Genomic DNA, 11,189 nt, shown 5'->3' with positions numbered 1-11,189 from the left:
TAGGCTATACTGTTTGCTTTCTTTTATATGTGAAAGCACTATTGTAGTTTCTAACACTTTGACATTTGCTCCTGATGATCAAAACATATGAAAATATTCCTGTCCTTATGGAGCATATAATCTAGTTGGATAAGATGCAATATACAAGCTAAAGTAGGTATAGCAAGGCATGGTGGTGTGCACCTACTCCCAGCTACTTAGGAGGCTGAGGTGGGAGGGTTGCTTGAGTCTGGGAGGTTGAGGCTGCAGTGAGCTATGATCACACCACTGCACTCCAGACTGAGTGGCAGAGCAAGATCCTGTCTCAAAAAGAAAAAAAGATAAAATAGGTAAAAAGAATATAATTAAATATCAATTAAATAAATTACACATTAAATATTAAACAAATATTCCTTAAAGAATATTAATATTCTATAATATTATATTCAATAATAATATTAAAAGAATATACAAATTATAGTGATAAAAGGAAAGGAAAAAAATAAGAAGGGAAGAGGGACACAAAGGGTGGGCATGTTGAAATTTAGATGTAGTTTCAGGAAAAACTTCTCTTAAGAAAGTGACCTTCAAGTAAAGACTTAAAGGAGTTGAGAGGGAATTGTGTGAATATTTAGGGGAAGAGCATGCCAGGAAGAGGAAAGGGCAAGTGCAAAGGCCCTGGGGTTGAGGCATGCCAGGAATATCTGACCAAGGAGGCCAAGAGACTGGAGTAGAGAGAATAGGGGTGTTAGTAAGTGGGATACAGTGAGTGAGAGGCAGATCACATAGGCCACACAGGGCACAAGGGCACAGCTTTTACAGCTACTGTGGTTATGGAGCAGAGGATTAACATGATCTGACTGACGTTTTAATTGGATCAGTTGGCTAACATGTTAAGAATGGGCTGTGAGGATAAGGGTGGGGTAGGAAGCAAAGTCAGGAAGGAGGGATACTTGTTAAAAGTAGGGTGGTAGCAATGGAGGTGGTATTAAATTCTGAATATCTTTTGAAGATAGAGCCTATAGAATTTTCTGACAGACAAGACGTAGAGTGTAAGAGGAAGAGAGAAGTCAAGAATAGCACTATGGATTTTTGCCTGCGTGACTGGATTATGGGAGGATTATGGGAGGAGTTTTTTTTTTTGGTAGTAGTGGAGGGAGAGTTATCAAGGGTTCAGTTTTGGATGAGATTGGTTGGAGATGTCTATTGGACATTCCAGTAGACATTTCGGACAGGAAGGTTGATGTAAGATCTGGAGTTCAGGAAAGGGGTTTAGGCTAGAGACACACATGTTGGAGTTGTAGCACACGGATAGTATGAAATCTATAACCTGGATGAGATCACCCAGGGAGTGAGTGTCCATAGGAATGAGGAGGCCCAAGTACTGATCCATGGGGACTGAACAATCAAGGATTGGAAGGATGAGGACAACCAGCAGAAGAAGCTGAGAAGGAATGACCAGGGAGGTAGGAGGAAAACCAAGTGAGTGTGACGTCCTAAAAGCCAAGAGAAGAAAAGGTTTCAAGGAGAAGAAAGTTATCAACTGGGTCAAATGTTGCTGATGGGGTAAGTCAGATGGGACCAAACTTAGCAACACGGAGGCCGTCATGACATGGAAAAGAGTAGCCAAGGTCAAAAGGAGAGAGGGTGGCTGTGTTGAGAGGCTGACCTTTTAGCAATATCATTCTCTTGGCTCAACATCTTCTTAGGTGAGTACCTGGGGGAGAAAAAGCCCCTTTTAAAAGAGTACTTCCAGGGAGCTCTGCCCTTGCATGGCTTTCACGATGTGTTCGTTTGTGGATTTAAGTGTTTTCTTGCCAGTAAATTCATTGATTGAACCCTGCTTTGGGCCAAAGCATGGTGCTAGATGTTGTGCTGGTAAGGGTAGAGGAAATTCAGAGAAATAGAAGACGTCATGCCAGTGGTCGCTATAGTGCCCATCACACTTCCCCTTCCCTCACTTCTGGAAACGTGTCTGTGCAGTTTGGATGTGGCTAAAGCTACCTTACTTCGTAACCCAACCAAGAGCAGGCAAGTGACCTAGGTGTGGCTAAACAGAATGGCGCCTGCAACAGTGAATGGTTCAAGGACCATGCAGCCACCATCTCACCAAAAAGCTCCACCCTCTTGCCCAATAGTGTGCCTGGCTTGGGGAGTTGGGGGGTGAGTGGGGTGAATGGGCTGGAATGGGGAGAGGTCTTCAGCTCCCCCTAGAGGCCAAAAACTTTCAATGCCCATAACCCAGGAGGCTGGGTGGCTTCCGGAGGGCAAATGGCAGGCTCCATTCCATCGAGGAGTGGGCAGTTGTTACTGCGGGGAGGTCCCTGGCAGTAAGGCAAGTCATATGGGGAACCTCCCTTTCCGACTGGCTCCCGACAGCTGACTCAGTAAGTACTTCAATGGAGCGACCTCAAGAGTGGTCTGGCTGTTCTGCATTATCAGCATCCACTACAAAGCCACATGATAAATGACGGCCTGTTTCCTCGCTTCTGTTTGTAAGGGCATCACGAAAGGACATCATACTCAACAGACGTGCTGGGCCAGCTCTCCCCCTGCCCACAGCCTCCACCCCGCCACGAGGCGCTCCCCAGTGTGTGATTGATCACGGGGATGGCACAACTCCAGCCCTCGCTGGGGAGAGAGGAAGGCTGGGCAGTGGGGATTAAAGGGGATGGAAAAGTTAAAAGTGAGAATTTTTATTTTTGCAATGTGCCCCTCTGCTAACCATTAGTTCGAAGCTTCCTGAATGGAAACAAATCAGGAAATAGCAGTGGGACTAATAAACTCTTACTGGGGAACAGCTGGGGATAGCGTTGGGGATCATGAATAATACCACTATTGTGTTGGACCTTGGGCCATACGTAAACTTGGCTAATATTCATGTTTCTCCCAATATCCGCATAGTAGTCCCACAGTTTATTTTTCTGGACAATGAAAGTGAAATTCCGGCTGAGCACAGTGGCTCATGCCTATAATCCCAGCTTTTGGGAGGCCAAGGTGGGAGGATAGCTTGAGCCCAGGAGTTCAAGACCAGCCTGGGCATCACAGGGAGACCCCTATCTTTATTTTTTTAAAAAGGAAGTGCAATTCCAAAGGTTAAGTGATTTGTCCAAAGTCATACACAATGAATCAAGACAGAACAACAACTTGAAATTGTGTTCTTGCAATATAGTTTCTTCACCCCTCCAAGCAGGGTGTTCACTATGTGCTTGATTTTCCTGGCTGTGTCCTCCTATTACCCCTTCTGCCAGGGGAAATCCAGCTCATTGCAGTCTCAGCTCACATGGCTGACAATATTACTTCTTGACACTAAGCCACAAGATGAATACCCTGGAACCCCATTGCTTTCTCAGGTGATTGACCTGATCGACCTGATACTGCCTTAAGCAAAAGCACATCAGGCCTTAAAGATTGTACCATTGTCTTTTATTCTCTTCTCCTTCTCTTTGTGGTAGGGACTTTTGTTATCTTGATCTTCCAATTAAAAACTTTGTTTCTCACATTGATTTTAGCTTCTCTTTCTGTTCCCTCACTCATGCATTTGTATATCAAATGAATTTATGAAGCATCAATGTTTACTGAGCACTTACTATGTGCCAGTTGCCATGCTAAGTTCTGGAAGTACAGTGGCCCAATTTAGTCTGAGGGATTAAAAAATCTTTCCTTGAGGAGGACTGACTAAGCTGGGACTTGAAGAGTGCGTAGGATTTAGCCAGGTGAAGAGAGGGCCAGAAGAGTATTGCAAGGCAGCAGGTGTATACATTTGGAAGCAGTAAAAAGGAGGGCCCCTTAGAGAAATGTCAATGCCTTCAGTAAGCAAACAGGGGACTCAGAAAGATACAGCTCTAGAGGAAGGAAGGCTGCTGGGGAGTGTTGATTGTCTCCCAAGAACACTGGTGGATTAGTCCATTCTCACACTCCTATAAAGAACTGCCCAAGACTGGGTAATTTATAAAGGAAAGAGGCTGAGTTGACTCACAGTTCAGCATGGCTGGGGAGGCCACAGGAAACTTACAATCATGGCACAAGGTGAAGGGGAAGTAAGGCACCTTCTTCACAAGGTGGTGGGAAGGAGCAGTGCTGAACTACGGGGGAAAAGCCCCTTATAAAACCATCAGGTCTTGTGAGAACTCACTCACTGTCACAGAACAGCATGATTCAACTACCTCCCATTGGGTCCCTCCCACAACACGTGGGGATTATGGGAACTACAATTCAAGGTGAGATTTGGGGGGAACACAGCCAAACCGTATCAACTGGGAAGCTATGGGGGTTGTAAATACACAAGCTTCTAGCTCACCCTCTCTTATTCTAGAACCCTAATGGCTACGAGAGAGAAAGCCAAATGCATTTTGAAAAATCACCTGAACACCAGGTGCATTTTTTCAAAAACGCATCTACCCCAAGAGGAAGGGGTAGATGTGACTCTGCCTCTTCCTCTTTAACAATGGGGTTTGAATTCACAGATGATTACAGTAAATTCATCAGCCCCAATGGAGGGAGGGGGAGGGTCAGTTCTGTGAGGTGTTGGTCATCACTTAGGTAGATCTAATTTCCAGAGTGGCCCTGAACAGAAAATGGTTAAGAGAACTCCAAGGACCAAGGTGATCAAGAGAAGGGCATTAGGCAACAAGCAAAGCCAAGAGGGAGCAATTCAGTCTGAAAGTTCTGTGAGCCAAGGCCAGATTCCAGGAGAGCTTCAGAAAGCGCTGAGCCATACTCGTAACTGCAAGGGGATTCAAAACACGGGGATGGGGCCCCTTGTCTCCAGCTGATTTGTCTTGGGTGTGCCCTTTGGATTCCAGGTCTCATTCTCCACCCAGAGAGTGGAATCTTGGAAGCTGTTCCCTTTTGTTGAGCCTTTAACCTTTCCTTTCACTCCGGCTCACCCCAATTCCAAAAGCTGCCCATTTTTTCATCAACGAAACCATTTCATCATTGCTCCTTCTGCTTCAAAGCCACTCTCTCTGCTACCCACAGAGAATAACTAACTGCTGCCTTGTCTCAGACCTCCCTGACAGTGAAAGAGAGAGACACCAGATCTTGCTGTCAACTAATTATCATGGTCCTGCCTCAGGGCCTTTGCTCAGGCTGCTGTGCCAGGCTGGAAACTTTATCAACATATCTGCCTAGCTACTCCCTTCACAGTAAACCTGTGCTCAAATTTTACCTTTTTCCTAAGGCCTTCTCTATTGTATTTAATACCTTACTTGCCCAATCCCCCTACTCCACTTTACTTTTTCTTTTTTTATATACCTATCTTATAGCATATTATCTAACTTATTTACTATGTTTATTGTTTATTTCACCCAACTAGCATATAAAGTTGCTGAGGGCATGGGTGTGACCCCAGAGCATAGAGTAGTGCCTGGCTGCTGATTAAGTATCCATTGAGGGATGAATGCTCTTTCAGCCAGATAATGCATTACCTTTCCCATGATTACTTTTATGCTTATTGGCAGTGGATGCTAATATCATCAAGGTGCACTGTGTTATGTGGAGGTACCATGTCTGCTCCAGGATCCTCTGAAGTATTCTTGATATTCAGTACGTTCCTCCTGGACACATAGGAATAAAACAAAGGATAAATAATTAATCTCCGATAAGCATCAAGGATTAAAGAGAAAAGGGTTGATGCCAATAGGCAGATTTGTAAACAAATGCTTTTTAACTAGGGGTTGAATTCTGAGCCCTGAGAACTGTCCCTTGGTATGAACTCTCATGAAGTCAGAAGGTGGCAAGCCAGCAAACATGGACCATGCTGCAATCAACAAGGTCAGCAAAGAATTTACATGCAGGAAATCATCTATTTTTAATATTGCAATTGCTTTCCTGTTTTCCTTTATTCCAAATGTTACCACAGGAGCCCAATTCCAAGAGTTTTGTTTGAATGCTTTCCTCTCCTATTTTTCTTCTTTAAATTTGGATGCGACCTTGTATTTCCAGAGAGCAAATGTTCTCTTGTTATTTTAAGAAAACCAGGAGGCTGGGTCATCTGTCAGGCTGAACAATGCTGGACGGATCTAAAGTGTTGGGGTCCCAAGGGTGGTGATTCTAAGTGGGAAGGCTGAGAGTGAGCTCCCTCTGGGGAAATGTAAAAGGATATGCAACAAGCAAAGGGTTGAATTTGTGCTGGGTGAGCCAGCCCAGAGAAGCAGGAGATGTGTTGCCAAGCTGGCAGAACTTGCAGTGAGTATCCAATAGTCCAGCCCCCACCCCACTCCTACCTCACCACATCCCTGTGGAGTTGAAGAAAGACATTCCTTTCATGCCCAAAGCAGTCCAAGCCCCTCCTAGATTTTTCTGGCTAATTATCTGTTCTTCAGCTGAGGTTTTGTAGACCTTGTATTTTCCAAGCACTAAGATTGCAAAGTTTTGGCAACTGTTTGATTATCACTCAGCAATGAAACCTATTTGCTTTATCTTTTGATGATTAGCTCTTTGTAGTGCCATGGTTGGCAAAGGCTGGGAGGGAACAGAAGCAAATGTGGTCAAGAGATTTGCTGAACATAAATTCTTTCTTGTAATGCAGTTAACATGGAGCCACTTCTTGGCCTGGTTAATGCAGAGTTCACTGTGTCCCAAAGCCCAAGGCTTGTCCTCACCTCGGTGTGGCTGAAGGAGTGGAGTTGAGTTGATGGATTCTTGATCCTTCTTGGAGTCTAATCCCTCATCTTCAATCAGCCTCCTTGGCCCCAGGTTATGCACCGTTTCAGCTCTGTAGCAGCAGTCCCAAGAAAGGCACTTCCCTCTCTGGGAAGTAGCCCCTGGACTTCCTGACTTAACCTTGCAGATGTTTCCGTAATTTCTCCTGGAAGTCTTGATGGTCTGGTGCCCCTGCAAGCCCTAGATTCTTGCCTGCAACCTCTTTCTATGTCTCGTGTTTGGTTTCTCTGAGTCATATTCAGATGCCCAGGTTGGGTCCCTCTTTGCCAATGGCTGGATCTACCTATTTTTCTGGTGACTTTGACAGACTCCTGAGAGGAATGGTTTCATAGAAGGACTTTAAGCACACTCCTCTCTCACAAAGGCAAGGATTAGCATAGTAACTCAGACAGCAATGACTGCTGCGTACCTGACCCAGAACTTTTCATATTCAAAATGATTTCACACATTAACTGATTAATCCAAGTGGAGTTGAACAGTAAGCAACACTACCCTATACTAGAAGAGAGAACCTGCTGAGGGTAAATATTTCATCACTGGTCAGGGCAGAAGCCCAGGGAAGTGCTCTCACCACCAGTAGCATCTCCAGAGCAGGAGTTACATTTTAGAAAAACAAAGCCTCCTACCTTATAAGAACCAAGCATGTAACCCCTTGTTCTAGTCACTCAGCACTGTTATCTCAGGTATCCATGTACTTTCAAACTGTTATTAGTTGAGCCATAACTGGCCTATTAATATCACATATCTTGTTCTACAAAGAATATATAGAAAATACATATAATAAAATACAAATTTAAAATTAAGTAGCAGCACCAGATAAATGAAATTAGAACAAGTGCGGAAGGGAGATGAGCAAACCCAAAAGATCTTACACACTTGCAATGACTGAGCAGTAAATTTGCCTCAGAGCTTCCTCGTGGTCAAAGCAGAGAAGGAAACATGGTCATTTATTATGCACAAATGGAAAAATACCTTTTCCTCAGCAAGTGAAGTATTTTGCTTTTAGTTCTGAAGGAGTTGTCTCATGAAGGGCTTTAGCAAATGAAGTAATGGTTTTTATAAAGTTATCTCCTTCATAATATATCTATTAAGTGAAACCTTGGATAGGTCAGGGAACCTCTCTGAACAGTGTTTTGCCATTGTGTCCATCCGCTTTAGGGAATCCATCACCTATGCCTCGGCAGACCTGAAGCTGATTCAGTTTGATGTATGTATCCAATGACTTCATGTGTGAAGCACATGTGTGCTAGGTCTTCTGGGAATATGAGATTAAAATATATATATATGGCTTTTGTTCCCTGGGTCCATAGCTCAGTGATGGGGAAAGAAATACACAAATAATTGTGTATACATTATACAAAGAAGCTTATTGTCTTAGTTGGTAAAGTTTGCTATAATAGAATACCATAGATTGAGTGGCTTAAACAACAGAAATTGATTTCCCATAGTTGTGGAGGCTGGGAAGTCCAAGATCAAGGTACTAGCTTATTTGGTTCCTGGTGATGGCCTTCTTCCTGATTTGTAGGTGGCTGTCTTCTCATTGTGTCTCACATGGTGGAGAACAGAGAGAGGAAGCAAGTTCTTGGGTCTCTTCTCATAAGGGCACTAATCCCATTCATGAGGGCTCCTCCTTCATGTCCTAATCACCTTCCACCCAAAGGCCCCACCTCCTATTACCATCAGCTTGGGGGTTAGGATTTCAACATATGAATTTGAGGAGCACACAAAAATCTGTCCCTAACACTTGTGTTTAAAGTCACTATGTGTTTAATGATCAAAGGGCTGCTAGGTATCCTTGTGATGTAACTGTTTTATGAGGTTGGGCCCACATGTCTCTGAAATTACTCAGGAATGATGACAGCTACAGATCCCAGGATTCTTTCTGACTAACTTGGTGAGATTTATGCCAATCCCTAACCTGACCTCTCTAGCCAGGTACTCAGAGCTCCCTGTAGGCAGACCTGGGCCACGTGCCCACCCTGGGGGTCTGGGTATGCTTCATTAAACCACAGAAACTGTGACAAGGAAGGTGCAATTGTCACAGGGAAGATGTGGGTTCTATTACCAAAATAAGGGCTTCCGGGAAGCACAAAGCCACAAATGTCTACTACCTGTCTTTTTCCTTTTCAAACACAGTTTATATTTGCTAATCTGGATAATTTAGTTTCTTCTGAGATCCGTGTGACCCAGAATTAGTTATTATTTTTAGCTGAGTTTGGGCAAGACACAGAGGACATATATCATTCACTTTTCTTATTATTGGGAGAGAAACAGTTAACTATAATGAAGTGGCCGTTCTACTTCCTTTTCTGGCAAAAGCGGCTTAATTTATAAAATGTTCCCTATCACCTGGCCGCTGTTACCAAGGAAGCTTGGTGGAAACATTCCAGCACTTGTGTAATTCCTTAAATCCTGCACTATATTAGCCACCAGACCCTTCTTGGGTCACTTGACCCCCAAAGAGCAAGACTGAAAAAAAAAAAAACCCATATACACTAAAAGGCTTACTGTGAAAAATTAATCAGCTCTTGATATGAATTATGGCATAGGACCAAGGAACACTTTCACATGTATACTGGGTAGGGGGGAGCCCCCTTATGAATATACAGTGAACCCAAGGGAACCTGGAGACTGCATCTTTGACATAAATTATTTTCTTCTCCCAATGTGGATTGGATGTTCACTCTTACTCAGTTTCATACTGCAACTGTAAGAGGACAGGTGGCTTGACGAAACTCCTCAGAGATCTGTCTCTCTATTTAGATCACATGGTAATGTGTTGAATATTTGTACAAGTCAGAGGAATGTATGAGTAGTGGCACAAGCAATGTGAAATGAAGAACCATCTTCAAATATCACTTTTTTCCCAAAGCCAGTTTTCTCCACTGCATATGTAATATGTCATTATGGAAACACATACTTGAGATGTGTTAGCCACTATACACATATGCAGAACAGACTTACCTACCCAATTTTATAGTAGTCTAGAAATCCCTTTTTCCCCAAAGATCCACTTGAAAAATGTCCCCTAAGATATCTCTTTTGAATCTCAAATTCAACATGTCTAAAAGATCTCAGAATGATCTCTTCTCTCCTCACTCCCTTTTCTCTAACTGTATATCAATCTTCTTGTTTATCAATCTGTCTTCCCTTCAATAAGTATCTACTGAGCTCCTTCAGTGCAGCCATTACTAGGCAAGCCACCAGGTATATGATGGGGAGAAATAGCAGGCACTGTCCCTGCTTATGAAGGTTCCTATCTGATAGAGGAGACAGTTGTTACTCAGACAATCATAGACACAAATGAGGAAGTATAAACATAACAAGATCTAGAAGGAGGAGTAAGCCCAGTTGATCTTTCCCTCATAATTACTGCTGAGTCTATTCCTTCTTCCCCTTCACCATGGCCAAAAGCCTTGGTCATTTCACACCTAAATCACACCGAAGACCCTCTGCTCTACTCAGCACAATGTGAGTACTCATCCTTGCCAATAAACCTTGTACATTTTTGCTTGGGTATCTTGTTCTTTGAATTGTTTTTCCTATTTGACCCACTCAGCATCATAATCTATCAAATTCTACCACTTTGTAAGACTCAGTAGAAGTGTGATCCCTTCTTTGAATTTGTCCTGTTATCTCCAGTGAGAATGCATCCTCTACCTCCTGCCAAGAAGGATTTTTTTTTGTCCTCATCTTTGGTGGCATTTCTTACATACTGTGGTCATTGGTGTGCGTCTTCTGCCCTGTTCATTTATAAGTGCCTGAAGGGCAAGGACTCAATGTAGCAGTTACCTGTGATTCTTTTGGATGTGCCAGCACCTGAAGTTCCTTCCTACATTTAAAAAATTGAGTCTCTGTTGGAGATCCAAATCACCTCTTTCTGTAGAAGCTTCTAGATCCTCATATTCCCAGTCTTCCTTGTAGTTAGGGTGTGGATGTGTGACTTATAGTTTTCCAAAAGGTGCCCCAGGTTAGGTTTTGAATGGAGAACTAATGTTGCAAAGCAGCAAGGACATCCAAGAGGCTCTCTATTGGCGGTGGCAGTGTAGCAGGAACAAGTCCCAGGGGGACTAGTGGTGACAGTGCTGATAGCATATTCCAGCACCCCTGACAGTGGAGTCAGTGGTGACAAGTTCCTCACCAGATTGGGTCTCTGATGTGACTCTAGGCTTTTTTCTGTGGGCATCTCTTCTCTCTGGGATTCTGCGAGCTACTCAATATCCTTTTATAAATCCCTTTTCTGCTTACCTCAGTTTCTTAGTCTATATATATTGCTGTTAACAAAATACGTTATTTTAGACTGGGTAATTTATAGATAATAGAAATGTATTTCTCACAGTTCTGGAGGCTGGCAAGTCCAAGATCAAGGCACCAGCAGGTTCAGTGTCTGGTGAGGTCCCCGTCTCTTCTTCCAAGATGGCACCTTGGACACTTCTTCCTCCACAGGGGAGGAATGCTGTGCCTGTGCCCACTCAAGCCCTTTTATAAGGCACCAATTCATTCAAGGGGGTGAATTTCTCATGGCCGAATAACCTTCTAAATGC

This window comes from Homo sapiens, chromosome 4 (assembly GCF_000001405.40).
Source record: "Homo sapiens chromosome 4, GRCh38.p14 Primary Assembly".
Classification (NCBI taxonomy): Eukaryota; Metazoa; Chordata; class Mammalia; order Primates; family Hominidae; genus Homo; species Homo sapiens.
This window is presented reverse-complemented; position numbering follows the sequence as displayed.